Raw genomic sequence first — 16,888 nt, 5'->3', positions numbered from 1 at the left:
CCTGTGGTGGGCTAGTGAGCCAGTTTGTGCAAAGCACCAAGAGCAGTACCTGCACATATGAGGGCTCAGTAAATGTTCACTGGTGTTATTATTTTTATTATTCCTTCATCCAACCCTTATCTGTAATTACAAAATCAAGAAAACCACATTTTTTATTTTTTTTGAGGTGGAGTTTCACTCTTGTTGCCCAGGCTGGAATGCAGTGGCGCAATCTTGGCTCACTTCAAACTCCGCCTCACGGGTTCAAGCCATTCTCCTGCCTCAGCCTCCCAAGTAGCTGGGATTACAGGCATGCACCACCACACCTGGCTAATTTTGTATTTTTAGTAGAGATGGGGTTTCTCCATGTTGGTCAGGCTGGTCTCGAACTCCTGACCTCAGGTTATCCGCCCACCTCAGAAAACCACACTTTTTTAAATAAAAAAAGTTTGGTGCAAACTCATTTAATGACCAAACCTGGCTTGAGTTAGTAGGAGATTACTCATAGTATGTACCAGAAGTAGTTACACATTCAGCTGTAGAAATACTTATGTACTGGATTTTGGGGTGCTGTGCCTGGCCCTGCTGGGGTTTGATATAGCATCCTGTACATACTCCATACTACCTTTCTCAAATGCAAACAGGTTATGAATTCCGAAATATGTCCAGCACCAAGGGTTGGAAAAGGGACTGTGGACTTGTCTGCCATAATTCATTCTCTGGATGGCCATTGAGGCCACTTCTTGCTTTTGCTAATAGGGAAGGATGCTGCAGTGAGTATCCTTGGTAGACTTGAATTGCTGGGTTCACAGACATGCAGATTTAAAACTTTGGTGGTTATTGATAGATTGCCTTTCAAAGAGATGAGCACAGTTCCATCAATACTGTATGTGTGAAGTTGATCGTGTTACTCCCTGGCTTTCAAGAGTCTCCACAGCTGACCACAGTTGTCCATAGTTGTCCACAGCTATTCATGGCCCTGGGGCTTACATCCTTGCTCCCTTCTGTGGTGTTCACAGCCTTTCCTTCCCACTCTGGCCCCAGCCTGTCTGCCCAGCCTCTAACCATGGTGGCTTTTCCCCCACCATTATACTTGGACCTCAGACCACCTGTAGTGTCCCTCAGTCAGTCAACAACTGACCCCCCAATTCATCCCCCCAGTTCTCTCTCTTTCTCTCTTTCTTTATCTTTCTCCCCACTACCCCTGTACTGTGTGCCCTGGGGCTCAGCCATAGGCAGCATAGAGCTGCCCTGCTCTGTGGCCTTGGCCTTCCAGGGTGGAAGCAGGAAACCCAATTTAGTTTTGATAGTCCTGAGAGTAGAGAGTGAGAAGAACAGCATTTAGGGGAGGGAACAACCTGTGGGAAGGCCCTGAGGCAAACTTGGGAGGAAGATTTGTATTTTTAGGGTTGTGGGAAACCCTTGCAGAGGTTTAAGCCAAGGAATGACTTGGCCGATTGGGCTTGTATTTTCAATACTGCAGGTGGTAATGGAGAACGTGTTAGCAGCAGGGGCTGAGAGAAGGGAGTGGAAGGAGAAGGGTCAGGCCTTAGTTGCTGATTGGACCTACAGGGTAAGATGAGAGAAGGATGGAGGACACCTTGCAGGTCTCTGGATTCAAAATCTGGGTGGATAAGGGTGTTCTGAGCCTGAGCCTCAGGAGGAGAGGGGCTGAGAGTGGAAAGAGCAAGTCCTCTGGCTGCCAGGGCTCACATCCCAGCCCCTGCAGTTGTTGCTGTCAATCCCTGACCCTCACTATCCTCATCTGTAAGATGGGGATTAATGTAGTGCCCTTGCAGGGTCCTGCGAATGTGGACGATGCTGACAGCAGTCAGGGGGCTGCACCTAGTGGGTGCTGGGCAGGGGCACATCTTTCCCTTCTTGTGCCAAGAAGCCACCCTCCATTCCCCCAGAGCTAGTTTCTCTGTTGGAATTGCCTTCCCAGCCATCATAGTTTCTGATTTCTCCTCTTGTCAGGCTTTGCTTTTGTTTCCCTACTGGATTCTGAGCCCCTTGGAACTCCAATTCTAGGTAGTAAAGCCTAGACATCTGCATTTCTGAGCAATTCCCCAGGTGAACTCAGCTGCTTAGAACATTCTGCATCCCTGTAGGGCTGGAGCTGTGTCTTCTTAGAGCCAGACACATACGCAACCCTGGAATGAATGAACCACTAACAACCGTATGGTCTCACATCTCCCACAGATAAACCCAGCAGGCTGGACTGCTCCAGTTTCGAGAGCAGCCCAGTCACCTGGGAGGGATTTTAATTTTATTATATTTTTTTCTTATTTGTTTATTTATTGGAGTCAGGGTCTCACTCTGTCGCCCAGGCTGGAGTGCAGTGGCCCAATCATAGCCTACGGCAACCTCGGACTCCTGGGTTCAAGCAGTCCTCCCACTTCAGCCTCCTGAGTAGCTGAGACTACAGGCATGCATCACCATACCTGGCTAATTTTTTAGTTTTTGTAGAGATGGGGTCTCACTATGTTGCTCAGGCTGGTCTCGAACTTCTGGCCTGAAGTGATCCTCCTGCCTCAGCTTCCCAAAGTGCTGGGATTACAGGCATAAGCCACCGTGCCCGGCTCCTGGGAGGGATCTTTAAAGTTCAGATTCCCAGACCCAGCCTTGGCAAGTCTGTTTCAGAAGGTCTGAGCTGAGCAGAGCATGATTCTCTGCTTGGATGATTCTACCCAGCCATGTCAGAACACCTGTAGGCTCTTAACGCTGTGTGTCCTCCTAGCTCTGACATCCTCGTCCTCAGCCACAGGCCCTGGCATGTCCTGCCATGCTGGGTGAAGTTGGTTTTCTTGGTGCCAGGTCACCAGGTGGGGTTTCTGGGTAGTGGCAATGGCTGTTCCCCTCCTGCAATTAGCAGGAGTTAAAATGTCTGGGTTCTGAACTTGTGTGTCTCTGCTGCCACCAGTAATTACACAAGGTCAAGTAGGTTTATGATAGCTGAAATTCTAACAGTTTGGGGGCCTGTGTCCCCAATTCGCTTTGGTTTGTGGTCTCATTCTCCCAGCCAGCCTTAAGGAGGAGGGGGGCGTGGGGCACAGCTGCTCCTACCCCGAGAGCACACAGAGCTCAAGTGCCAGGCTTTGCCTCCGGAAGCATCTGTCTATTTCCATTGTCTGCCTCTCCTTGGACACAGAAGAATGATTATAACCAAATGGAGGGGTCCTCCTTCACCCGATCTCCCTGCACATTTCCAGATGGCTTTTGTAGAAGTTGTAGTCTTGCTCTTGATGTGCAAATCTGTTGGGTAATAGAGGTCTCATCGTGCTGGAAGAAGTGCCTCCCCAGTTAATTCTCCTCCACCCAAGCAGTCAGTGAAGGTTCAGCAGCTGGCAGAATGGAAATTGATGGTGGACATGTGACTTGACTGGCTGAGCTCCATAATGCTCATTCCTCATTGTCATTTCTCATGTGCACTGTGGGTGTGTGTCTCTTGGACAAGAGGATTGTGGTCTGGAATCCTGGAGGGATCTTGCAAAGCAGATCCAGATCTTGGTGTATGGAGTTAGGGCGGGGTGGTGGTGGTGCTGGATGGAGTGGGAGGGAAGACCTGGATCCTCTGAAGGCCAGCGCGTGTCTGGGCCAGCAGGAAGGGGCTGAAGTGCGTGAAGGCTCATCCAAGGGTTACTATCAGTCAGGTCACTTTCTCTGTGACTGTGGCTGAGCTTTACTGCCTCTGGAGATCCACATGCCTGTACAATCTTGCCTTCTGGGTGGGTCTGTAATTGTTCCTCATGGGTATTTTAGTAATGTCTGGATGTATCTTTCCCCCACTTCTTCTCACCCTCCTGTTTGCTCAAGCATCCCAGCTCCGGAAGGCTTCAGATTCTATCTCCTGCTCCTTTAACCCAGCTGCCCTGGGTTCACTTCATTCCAACAGAGGTCTCCTCTCTTACATCCAGCTCCCAAAATCGACAGCATTGAATACAACGCTGACTCTGAAACTTGCTCACTGGGGGATCTCCAAAAGGCTTTTTAACTTCTCCAAGAGACCCTCTGCTTTCCCATCTTTTTTGGTTTGTTTTTATAAAGGAGGAAAGGACACTGACCTTTGCATGGCACTGTGCTGGGCTCTTTGCTTACACTGCTTCATTGGATCTCCATAATAGTCCCATGAGATGGACACCATTACGACCCCTGCTTTCTAGTTGGGGAAACTGAGGCATAGAGCAGTCCTTTCCAAGATCTTATAGCTGCTAAGTAGCAGAGGTCGAATGAATTTAAGTCCCAATAGTTTCACTTTGTTGTTGTTGTTGTTTTTGAGACGAAGTTTTTTTTTTGTTTGTTTTTGTTTTTGTTTCTGTTTGAGACGGAGTCTTACTTATTCTGTCACCCAGGCTGAAGTGCAGTGGCAAAATCTCGGCTCACTGCAGCCTCCACCTCCCGGTTCAAGTGATTCCCCTGCCTCAGCCTCCTGAGTAGCTGGGATTCCAGGCTCATGCTACCACGCCCAGCTAATTTTTGTAGTTTTAGTGGAGACGGGGTTTCACCATGTTGGCCAGATTGGGCTTGAACTCCTGACCTCAGGTGATCTGCCCACCTTGGCTCCCAAAGTGCTGGGATTACAGGCGTTAGCCACCACACCAGGTCCCAGTAGTCTAATTTTGGAACCCCAGGCCTCCATTGGCTTTCTCTGTTGTAAATGTTTTTGCAATATAGATGTTTTAATAGCTTATGTAAAATCTTGTCATTGTGTAATTATGGTATTATGGAATCACATTTCTCTTGCATTTAGTTCATGTAAACGAAACTAGAATCTCTTAGGAAAAAAAGAGAAAAACAGCAGTTTAATCTCACTGTTCCACTTAATGAGTGTATATTCTGAAGGATACAGGAGATTGGGGGTGGTGAATCTGCTGGACTCCCTGTACAGGCCCCACATTCGGAGCACTTCAACCAGGGCAGCTCTGTGTGTGAGTCTGGGGGTTAGAGGTGTGTGTTTTCCTTTGGCTCTGACCACCAACTTTACCTGCAGTGCAGCTGAACACACAGTCACCTGCTCTAGCACTGTAGGAGAACCGAGTTGTGTTCCTCCAGAGAGGGTGAGCAGCTCACTAAGATGCATCTTCCTGAGGGGTTTTCCAGGGGAATTTTGAACTCTGCAGGATTTTCCCACTAACTTTAGAATTCGCCCTCCAGTGTCAGAAGGCTGAGCTTCGTCCTCCCTTTTGCAGGGTCTTTCTCAGCTGACATTTGGGTCAGAGCACAGAGATGGAGCTAAGATTGAGCCAGAGAGTTTTGTTTTGTAGGGGAGTTGGGCTGCATATTTACTCAGGTGCCAGAACCTATGAGATATTGGAAGTTTGGGAGGTCTGGACCCGGGAGTCAGACAGACCCAGCTGTTCAACCCCTATTGTCCGGTTCCAACTGCTGGACCTTGGCCAGGTTGCTTAAAGCTGTAGTTTATTTCGTTCTCGAAAATGTGGATAACAATGTGCACATCTCTGGGATCTTGTGTGAATTTGCAGTTAGAGAACAGGTCCTTGATATATCTTGGTCATCTGTGCCCCTTAACTAGAGCCTCATAGATTTCAGTGAATTGTAAATTGTCTCTAAGTGGCTAGCTAGGTATAATTTCATAAAGCATTATTTAGAATTGGGCTTCTAAGAGAGCTCACCTTATTTTTTTCTGCATTTTGAAGCACTCTGGGCATGAAGTATGCTGTACTTAAGCATTTGTCCTTGCAAGTAATGAATGATAACGAGACAAACCAGACTTTGAGCTGAGTTAGTGAGTGTGATGTGTGTTGATTCTATGAAGCTCATTTAAACAAATGCCCTGTTTGGTGCAGGATCAGGTCAGAAAATCTTTCGCTGCCCAAGGGATCCAGTTTTAACCTCAATTAGAAAAACTGGCACAAGACCATTTCTAGGGCCATTTTGCATGTCTGCCACTTCCCTTTGGGACCTCTGTTTGGGGGAGAACGTTCTTGGTTTTTGTGCTTCTGCCCTGGTTCTTAAGGTCACTAGCTCTGTGGGCAAATCTGTGCTTTCTGTGCCTAGGTTTCCTCTTCTGTGAGGAGATAAGAGTTCCTGACAACATTGCTGAGTGGGTTGAGCATTTGAAGCCCTCAGCAGGGTGTCTGGCATATGAAAAGGCCTCTATTGCCATTGCTTGTGGTGAGGAGGAGGACAATGATGACAATGTGACATAGACAACCCATTGCTGGGTCCATGCCTATCATACAGTAGGCAGCACAGAATGGGGGACCCCAGTCCTGCTCTGACCACTGTGTCCTGTTCCTTCCTACCTTTGGGTCCTCCATGAATCCATAAGCATGCTCTCTGTCCATCAACAAAAACATACTGAGTGTCCATGAAAGGCATTACTGAAGAGACCCAGAGAGAGACAGGCTGACAGTAGTAGTTTGTTTTTTGTTTTTTGTTTTGAGACAGAGTTTCGCTCTTATCACCCAGGCTGGAGTGCAATGGTGCGATCTCAGCCCACTTTAACCTCCGTCTCCTAGGTTCAAGCGATTCTCCTGCCTCAGCCTCCCCAGTAGCTGGGATTACAGGTGCCCGCCACCACGCCCAGCTAATTTTTGTATTTTTAGTAGAGATGAGGTTTCACCCTGTTGGCCAGGCTGGTCTTGAACTCCTGAGTTCAGGTGATCCATCTGCCTCGGCTTCCCAGAGTGCTCGGATTACAGGTGTGAGCCACCACGTCCGGCCAATAGTTTTATGTAAAGCAAGGTTTTAAAACTTTTTTGTTCCATTGGAACCATTTGACAGTATGAGAACTCCTCCAAGAACCCTAGCATATAAATCATAATAAAAGATGAGATGCCCTGGTTGAAATTGGAATACCTTTTGGCCTAAAGACAGGCATCCTGGAACCAGGCAGGGGTTGACCGCTTGTGGTATCCCCACCAAGCCTCGTATCCTGGGATCTGGGATCTGATTTTCAACTGGGAAGACTAGAGACTTGTGATATGACCTTGAGGACTGACTAACCTTCTCCCCAAACCTCCCCAAATGAACATGTGATGGAGACCATGCCCACAGTACCAGCTTGTACATAAGCAGTGAAAACTGGAACTGGTACTCAGTCTATCCATGTAATTAAGCCACAGGGGCAGCAAGCACCAAACCTGTAGGCTGCCTGGTGGGAGTGGAGTTCAAAATACTTGTTGGAGCAAGTACGATGCTGTCATTAGCCTGTTGCATCCATTTCATCACTGGGGTATCTTGACACTGTGTTTAGAAATACAAGTCCTTGTGTCCCCAGCATGCATCTTCCTTTGAGGGATAGTGACTTACGGACTCGGCTGGGTACTGTGCAGCTTTGCCTCTTGATGCCTTCTTTTCCTGTGATTCTCGAATGGCCAACCCCCCCAAGTGGACCACTTTATTGCTTCAGCTGGTGGTGATGCCTCCATGGCGCGGGTGTCCTGATTCCACAGCAGGTTTGTATCATCTTTCATTAGAGTGGAAGAGTACACAGTTCACTGAATGTGTTCATTTGTTCAACAAGTATTGCATTTGTCTGTGTGCTCAGGGTGCCACACAGCCTGGTGCAGTTGGGGAGACACATGTGCACACATTGGTGTGATTGGGTGAAGGAGGAGTGTGGCAGGGGCACTAAGGAGGCACCAGAGCCCATCTTCAGAGCACTCTGGGAAAATCCAAGGGGGTGATGTGAGTGGTGGAGCTGACAAAATGTCTCTCAGAGGATGGTCATGGGACCTCACTTCCAAATTCTTGCCCCAGCAATCTCCCATAACCTCCATAGTGTTTGGCGTCCAGGGATGATGGAGTAGAAATGCAAATATAAATAGTTAACACTAACCATTGAGTACATCTTCTTGGCTAAACACTGGACATGGATGATCTCATGTCATGCAAGGGTGCACAACCTGCTGTGATGACACACTGCACTGCCCCAGCCCTCCTTATACTTTCTGTCACCCTCCTCCTCACTCTTGTAATCTCTTTTTCCTCCTTGTTAATTACTTATGCTGTGTTCTTTATCCAGAGAAGCCCTGGCTTGTTGACCTGGTAGGCTCTTATTCACCCTTCAAAACTCAGCCCAGTCATCACCTCCTCTGAGAAGCCTTCCATGATATGCTCAGGCTGACTTGATGCTCTTCCTCTTACAACTGTATATCCCATCATTACAGCTTTGTTACATTATACTGTAATGCTCAGGGTTTTTTTTTTTTTTTTAACTTTGAAACAATTTTAGTAATACTAACATATATAAACATTTTTGTTGGTGTTGGTGTTGTAAAATGCTAGTGGCAGCCAGGCGCTGTGGCTCATGCCTGTAATCCCAGCACTTTGGGAGGCCAAGGCAGGAGGATCACGAGGTCAGGAGTTCGAGACCAGCCTAATCAACGTGGTGAAACCCCATCTCTACTAAAAATACAAAAATTAGCCGGGCATGGTGGCACATGCCTGTAATCCCAGCTACTCAGGAGGCTGAGGCAGGAGAATCGCTTGAACACAGGAGGTGGAGGTTGTAAGTGAGCTGAGATCGCGCCACTGCACTCTAGCCTGGGCAACAGAGAGAGACTTGGTCTTAAAAAAAAAAATGTTAGTGGTACAGATATAACTGAAGCCTGTCTTAGCTTCCAGCCGTCCCATATCCCACTTCAGACACAGCCACTTAAAAATAACTTTGAGGTTGTGTTTTCTAAACTTTAAAAAATATATTTATGGGCTGGGCGCGGTGGCTCATGCCTGTAATCCCAGCACTTTGGGAGGCTGAGGAGGGCAGATCACGAGGTCAGGAGATCAAGACCATCCTGGCTAACATGGTGAAACCTCGTCTGTACTGAAAATACAAAAAAACTAGCTGAGCATGGTGGCGGGCGCCTGTAGTCCCAGGTACTTGGGAGGCTGAGGCAGGAGAATGGCCTGAACCCAGGAGGCAGAGCTTGCAGTGAGCTGAGATCACGCCACTGTACTCCAGTCTGGGCGACAGAGCGAGACTCCGTCTAAAAAAAAAAAAAAATATATATATATATATATATATATATATATATATATATATATATATATATTTATGTACATACAGTGTTATGCTGGGACATGTTTAACAGTCAGCTCTTGGGGACAGGTTGGAGAGCGGGGAGCCATGATTTGCCGCATTTTCTGATTTCCATGGTGTAAAACTCCCACCATGGCCAACAAACCCCGACATGACTGAACAGAGTTGGAAAGAGATGTGCACCATTGACTTTCTCAAACTAGTATGTGCTGGCTCTCATCCACCACTGCTTCATATAGCTGGAGTCTTGAAGTATGTGGGGTTTTTCTTTTGCTAGAAACATCATTATACTTTAGGTTCTGTTCTTGCTTTTTTCCCCTCTAATGTTGAGTTGAGCTGTGTTTCCCATGCTAGTGCATCTAGATCTGCTTTGTTGTTTTAGCTGTTGCATATTCTACACCAATCAGTCATTATTTCTCCAGTGCCTTATCGATGGACAGTTTGGTTGTTTTTCATAGGGTATGTCTCCTCATAGTAGTCCCCATCCTCCTGGGGCATAGGAACTTTTCATTTGTATCCATGTAGATGCTTCAAGACCATGCGTGGGTGGACTCAGGGTGATAGTGGATGCTTGGAAACAATGCTAAGCTGGCCCAGGTGCGCTGCTGTGTCCACACTGACCAGAGCACTGTTTGGTAACTGACCTAATGTCTCGGCTGCTCATGTCATTATCTCTGGTTCAGTTTAGTGGCCACATCAGCCCTCGGGGGTGGTGGCCTCGTTTTTAGCCAAGGGCTCTGGGTCATGTTTCTTGGCCACTGGGGAGGTGAGGTCATCTGGAGCGGGTGGCTTGGGACCTTGTGGTCCCAGCCTGAGCCATCCAACCATCCTTTAGTTCTGATGTTGGCTCTGGCCCTGAGATTGGCAGACAGCAAGAAAAAATGTATCCCGCTCTCTCCCTGCTCAGATAAAAGCCTGGAGGACAACTCTGACTGTTGTTTGCTGATAAAAGTTTATAAAGCTGTGAGTGCCAAGCATGAGGCAGAGCAAGGAGTACACGGAGCTTTTGTAAATTTCCCTGGAGGGCATGCCCTCTTTTGAGATCTGAAGATGAAAAGATCTTATTTGGTGGAGTCTTGATTTTGTTGTTTGTGTACTTTTTTTCTTAGTATATATATATTTTGGTAATTAAGTATGTGAAAGTGTTTGTTAAGCACCAACTGTATGCCTAACACCCCATTAGGGTGGGGTTGTTATGGAAGCAGAGTGGGGTCTGGCTTAAGAGCATGGGCTCTGGAATCAGATGGTGTGTGTTCAAATCCCTCCCCTACCATGATACACTTTGGGATCTTGAACAAGTTAATTCACCATTCTGTGCCTCAGTTTCCTACTATTCAATAGAGGGATTGTGATAGTGCCCGCTTCATAGGGTGGGAGAAGAGGAAGTGAGATAATGCACGAGGAGCACTGAGTCTGGTGCATATGAGGTGCTCAGTAAAGGCTGTTGCTATTAGTAGGAGTTATTATTAATTAGCACTGGAAGTTCACATACAATCAGAACTAGGAACAGAATGGAATGTGCAAGACCTTGAGATGTTCTGCTTTTGAGACACTTGCAGTTTGTTTGGGGAGATAAGAGTAGGTGTTTGGTCCTATTAGCAATCAGTATATGACAGTCATAATGAAGTCCAAATGATGTGGTTTTTATTTCAAGTTTTACAGAAGTTGGTGGGGAGTGGGGAGTGCCTGAGAGGAGATGGGGTTATAGATGGGGTCACTGTATGTGAGAGGCAGGTAAAGGAGTGAAGGTACTCCTTCACAGAGGAGGGCACTGTGCAGCAGCAGGGCACTGTCAGTAGCTGATCAGTTCCAGGTCAGTCTGGTGGGCAGCGGTTGGCAGGGTGGTGTGGGTGTTGAGGAGGTCAGCTGGGGTCTGCTTCATTCAGAGGTGAAAGGACACAGGCCTGTGGAGTGGAAATGGGATGAAGCAGGCAGAGCCATTTATTAAAGCATCTTATTGAAGCACAGCATACCCACAGAGAAGGGCACCGGTCATAACTGTATCACTTGATGGTTTTCACAAATGGATCATACCTGTATTAAGAAACAGAACTTTGCCAGCACCCCAGAAGCCCCATCATTCCTCTTCCAGCCACCACTCCCCCACTAGAACCGCTATCCTAACTCCTAATAGCCTGGGATGGTTTTACCTGTTTTGGTATTTTCTTTTCTTTTCTTTTCTTTTCTTTTGACGGAGTCTTATTCTGTCGCCCAGGCTGGAGTGCAGTGGCGTGATCTCAGCTCACTGCAACCTCCATCTCCTGGGTTCAAGTGATTCTCCTGCCTCAGCCTCCAGAGTAGCTGGGACTACAGGTGCGTGCCACCACGGCTGGCTAATTTTTTGTATTTTTAGTAGAGATGGGGTTTCACCATGTTAGCCAGGTTGGTCTCAATGTCCTGACCTCGTGATCCACCCGCCTTGGCCTCCAAAAGTGCTGGGATTACAGGCATAAGCCACTGTGCCTGGCCCTGTTGTGGTACTTTCTGTAGACAGACTTGGATAGCACACACTCTTGTGTTTGGCATCTTTAGCTCAGCATTGTTTTCTGAGTGTCTTTCTTGTTGCCGCATGTGGTTGTAGGTCATCCATTCTCATTGCTGGGAATCACCACCATTGATTTCATTCATTCTATTGTTGATAAGCATTTGGGTAGCTTCCAGTTTGAGTTTGTGGTAGGTCACATAATGGCCCTCCCAAAAGATGTTTCTGACCTAATCCCTGGTCACGGGTGCCATTCACCAGTAATACCTGGGACTGTGTTACCTTACATGGAAAAAGGGACTTTGCAGATGTGATGACTTTAAGGATCTTGGCATGGGGAGATCATCCTTGAGGGGCCAGTGTAGTCACAAGGATTCCTATAGGAGGGTCTGGTTCAGAGAATGAGATGTAGTGATTAAAGCAGAGGAAAGAGAAGACAGAGATTTGAAGATACCATTGCTGGCAATGAAAACAAGAGGAGGAGCCACAAGCCGAGGAATGCAAAGTGACCTTTAGAAGCTGGAAAAGGCAGGAGAACAGAGTCTCCTCTAGAACGTCCAGGAGGAATGCTGCCCTGCAAGGCCATGTAGACCCATTTCTGACCTACATTGCTATGAGAGGAGATACATTTGTGCTGTTTTAAGTCACTAAGCGTGTGGTAATTGATTACAGCAGCAATGAAAGACAAATGTAGGGGAGTTGTGCATGGTGCTACTGAGGACATTCTAGAATATGTCTCTTGGTGCACGTGCGTACCTAGGAGCAAATGCAGGTTGACTCGACATTGTCACGGTCTTCCAAGATGGTGGGACCAATTTATGTTCCCAGCAACAGCAGTATATGAGAGTGCTGGTTGCTTCACATTCTCACCAACACTTGGTGCTTCCTGGGAAATTTTTAAATGAAGAATTAGCAGGACCTTCTGTCCAATGGACGCAGTTGTGCTTTGCAGGAGGTTGATGCAGGAGGTATCAGCAAATACCAATGGGTGCTGATCCTGCCAGCTGAGGAGAGGAACGAGGGAGTGGTGGTGCCAGAGTTTTTAGCTGGGGAGAAATGGAATTCCTCTTCCATGCAGGTGACTGGGATGGGAAATACTGATGAACTTTAGATTAACACGAAACTTTCCATCTGAAGAGTCAGAACAGCGCTTATCTCATCTTTGTAACTTTGTGACTAACCAAGGGATGTGGTGGGTATTATGTGGTGGGGAAAAAGCCCATGCTGTTCATCAGCCCTCATTTAAGTGCTGCGACTATAAGCAAGTCACAGCCTGTCAGATCTCTGGTTTTGCCATCTGCAAAATGGGTATGATCCTGGCTTTTCTGCAGGGCCCTGGCAGATGAGAGGAGCCTCTGTGTGAGAGCCCTGAACTTACCACCTATAAATAGGAGGCACTGAGTCAGCAGTGGCTGTGGTCATTACCAACAATGGTATAGGTCTGAGGCGATGGCTGACGCCTGTAATCCCACCTCTTTGGTAGGCTGAGGTGCAAGAATTGCTTGAGGCCAGGAATTAGAGACCAGCCTGGGCAACATAGCAAGACCCCATCTCTACAAAAAATTAAAAAAATGAGCCAGGTGTGGTAATGTGCACCTGTAGTTCCAGCTAACATGGGAGGCTAAGGCAGGAGGATCACTTGAGCCCAGGAGTTTGAGGCTGTAGTGAACTATGATTACATCACTGCACTCCAGCCTGGGCAACAGCAAGACTCTGCCTTAAAAACAAACAAAACAATGGTATGAAACCCCTAGGTTTAGAGTGTTCCTGGGGCTGAACACTCAACCTTGAGAGGGATCCGAGAGTATCACCTCTTGGTTGACATCCAGGGCAGATGAGGTTAAGCTCACGATCAACCCAACAACCCCCGGGGCCTCATTGAGACACTATTCCTTACCCGATTCCTGAAATGGCTTTTGAAATTTTTTGTTTATTCATTCATTTGTTCATTCATTCAGCCACCACCGAGCTTTCCTGTGCATGTCATGCCACAGTCGGGAGAAACACAGACTCCCAGGCCAAATGCCTGGGGTTCCAGTCTCAGCTTTATTATTTGCTACCTGTGTGGCCTTTGCCAAGTCTTAACTTCTTTGTGCCCAGTTTTCTGATTCTTCATGTGAGATGGTAACAGTCCCTGCCTCCTAGGGCTGGTGTGAGAATTTGATGCAACAATCCATGTCAATGTCCGTGTCAGGCCCTCGGGCATCCTTCAGTGCTAGAGCACAGAGATCGATGCCCCCAGTCCCTGCCCCTAGCCACAGGCTGAAGGGTGATGGGTTTTGTTTTGTTTTGTTTTGTTTTGTTTTTTGAGACGGAGTCTTGCTCTGTCGCCCAGGCTGGAGTGCAGTGGCACAATCTTGGCTCACTGCAAGCTCCGCCTCCCGGGTTCACACCATTCTCCTGCCTCAGCCTCCCGAGTAGCTGGGAATATAGGTGCCCGCCACCAAGCCTGGCTAATTTTTTTGTGTTTTTAATAGAGACGGGTTTTCACCGTGTTAGCCAGGATGGTCTCGATCTCCTGACCTCGTGATCCGCCTGCCTCGGCCTCCCAAAGTGCTGGGATTACAGGCGTGAGCCACTGCGCCCAGCCTAAAGGGTGATGGTTTATTGGTGCCTGTCTACAGAATATTTTTGCCAATATGGGAAAGGAAAAGCCTAAAGCTCTGACCTAGAACTAGCCAGTGGCCCCTCAAAGGCAGGCCCTGATCCCTCATGGCTGCTTGGGAAATGTGGCTTTGAGGAGAGTCCTGTGGTTGGCATCATTTTGGAATGTGGGTGTAAAGTCCCTTGCAGCAGTTACATGCTGCAGAGGAGCTTGGGACACTGAGCAACCTTGGTTTCTAGGCCGAAATGAGGTAGGTTGAGGTGTTCACAGCTGCAGAAGTGACCCAGGTATGGGCTACTCAATTCCTCTTCATACCCTTTGTGGATGCAGTGGCAACTCCGGGACTCTGAACTCAAGTCCCACCACCCTTCCATCTTTTCTTCTTCTGGGATCCACATTTTCACTCTCGCCCTAGCCTGGGCCCCTCCATAATGCACATGTCTCAGCTGATGAAGTTAGCTCTGATGGAAGCCAGAGCAGTGGCCCCTGACAGGGATCCAGATGCTAAAAATATTTCATGGTGTGCTTTTTGCAAGTTAAAGACCGGCACTGGAGGCAGTGGCTGGGGACTCTCCCCTAAACTGACTGTCTAACGCCTTGGGGTACAAGGGTCCCAGGTATCCTGTAGGTCCTGCTCACCTAGATTGGAGAATTTATCTAAATGGTGCTTTAATCTGGCCAGGCCTGTGGTAGGGCAGATGGAGGAGGCTGTGCTGGAGATATGGCCAAGCAGGCCTGTGATTCTCAGTAATCAAAGTAGTGGATGCAACGGTGCTGGACCATTCAGCCAGCACTAGCTTAGAAGAACATGGGTGGTCCAAATTACCCTCACCCCCTGTGCCTGGACGATGACAGGCTGGAGACCAATACACTATCCCTCAGTATGATCTGCACAGCCAGTTCTACAGTTGAAACTGATGGCTGTTTCTTTGGTTGACACTAGATGAAGCAGCAGGTTTGTGTTTGGGGCCATGTGGTACAAAGAAAATCTATCTTTTGATCCTCAACCACACCCAGAGTGGTGAGGAATGCAATGCCTGAGACTGAAGAAGGATCCCAGAGTTATGGCTCAGACTCATCCTGGGGCAAATGTTCAGGAAGCGAAATAGTGGGAGGAATCCTCCACGCCACTGGAATATTCTTCTCCTGTGCACACTGTCTCTGTCTCTCTCCCTTGTCTTTCTCTTTGCCTCTGTTGCTCCTAAGCACACCTGCTTGAATCCTTACCTAAACTTGGGCGTCATGCACCCGAATGGTATTTTACCAGTCCAGGTGGTCATTTTGTGACATGAAACTCACAGCTCATACTTGGAGATGCCCTCTGTATTCTTCATTCTGTGCCCAGTGCTCTGCTCTTGAGAGTCTTCGCACTGGAAGATATTACCTGCTTATTAACATCCCCTCACTCATTAAGTACTGATTGAGTACTTACTATGCACCAGGCCCTCAGGAAGTTGCATGTAGTTTCACTGAAATTGTGTCCAAAAAGAGTTTGGCCTCACCTGTCTCTACATACATAGTGTGTACCAAGCTCCAAATAACCAAACCCACCTGCAGAAGGGCCCCAGTGAGGACATGTAATCATATTCCCAGCTGGGATGACAGTTCACAACCCATAAAACCAGGGCCTATAAAACAATGACTTAAAGAACAAAGAAATTTCTCTGTAAGGTAGTAATTCTAAGGTGACAGGGGTGGCTGTGCTAGATGCAATCACAGGCCCAGGTGGTTTCTACCTTGTTGCTTTGTCATTCCAAGTGCATTGTCATCATCTGCATGGGCAGAGCTGGGTTCCAGCCCGTGGGAAGGTTGCTCATATCCTAAGACCTAGACCGAGAAGTGGCACACATCACTTCTTCTCACGTTCCACTGGGAACCCAGATATTTGGCTATATCTCCCTGCAGGGATGCTTGGAAAATGTGGTACCTGGCGGAGCGCAGTGGCTTACGCCTGTAATCCCAGCACTTTGGGAGGTTGAGGTGGGCGGCTCACCTGAGGTCAGGAGTTTAAGACCAGCCTAGCCAACATGGTCTAACCCTGTCTTTACTAAAAATACAAAAATTAGCCGGGTGTGGTGGCGTGTGCCTGTAAACTCAGCTACTCGGGAGGCTGAGCAAAGGAGTGGTGTGACCCTGGGAGGCAGAAGTTGCAGTGAGCTGAGATTGTGCCACTGCACTGCAGCATGGGTGACAGAGCGAGACTCTGTCTCAAAAAAAGAAAAGAAAAGAAAATGTTGTACCTGATAAAACTTGAATAATTATGGAAGAAGGAAATATTGGATTTTGGTGGACACTGGGTAACCCTTGATATATTCCCCTTGTATTTAATGCAGCTCTTTGTGTGTTTATAACATAAATGTACCTAGATGATAAATGTTGGTTGTTTTGCTTTTTAAAAAAGGAGACCTGAGCCTGCCATACTGAGTCTATGGACAGTTCCACAGCAATGAATCAATGCAGCTGTAGAGGAATGGAAGAAAACAAGGAAAGGTAAAAATAATCAAATAACCTAAATAATTAAAAATTTTAAAATTCCTGTATGCAACAATTAAATGAAATGGAGGGCTTCCTTTAAGCCTACATAAGTCAGTAGAGGCCATCAAGAATTTGGAGATAGTGCTAGGCATGGTGTCTCATGCCTGTAACCCCAGCACTTTGCAAGGCTGAGGTGAGAGAGGATCACTTGAGTCCAGGAGTTCGAGACCAGCCTGGGTAACATAGTGAGACCTCATCTCTACTAAAAATAAAAAAAAATTAGCCAGGCATGGTGATGTGTGCCTGTAGTCCCAGCTACTTGGGAGGCTGAGGCGGGAGG

At 47.5% G+C, this 16,888-nt stretch overlaps 1 protein-coding gene across 12 annotated transcripts in view; it reads left to right on the top strand.

Annotated features, from left to right (window-relative positions):
* ARHGEF3 (Rho guanine nucleotide exchange factor 3) overlaps positions 1–16,888 on the top strand; it is a 351,849-nt gene that overhangs the window by 27,618 nt on the left and 307,343 nt on the right. For 8 of the 12 annotated variants that reach the window (XM_017006503.2, NM_001128615.2, NM_001377409.1 and 5 more), the window contains one exon: positions 16,475–16,563. The exons of 3 other annotated variants lie outside the window; for them this stretch is intronic. In XM_017006503.2, coding sequence (XP_016861992.1) covers positions 16,502–16,563 — 62 coding nt within the window. In that variant the 5' untranslated portion in view covers positions 16,475–16,501. Of the gene's footprint in view, positions 1–881; positions 7,401–16,474; positions 16,564–16,888 lie in introns of those variants that run through there. One more of the 12 variants, XM_047448222.1, reaches the window with a different exon arrangement.

Source organism: Homo sapiens, chromosome 3, assembly GCF_000001405.40.
Source record: "Homo sapiens chromosome 3, GRCh38.p14 Primary Assembly".
Classification (NCBI taxonomy): Eukaryota; Metazoa; Chordata; class Mammalia; order Primates; family Hominidae; genus Homo; species Homo sapiens.
Note: the sequence above shows the minus strand (reverse complement) of the source record. Positions and strands in the feature narration are given on the sequence as shown.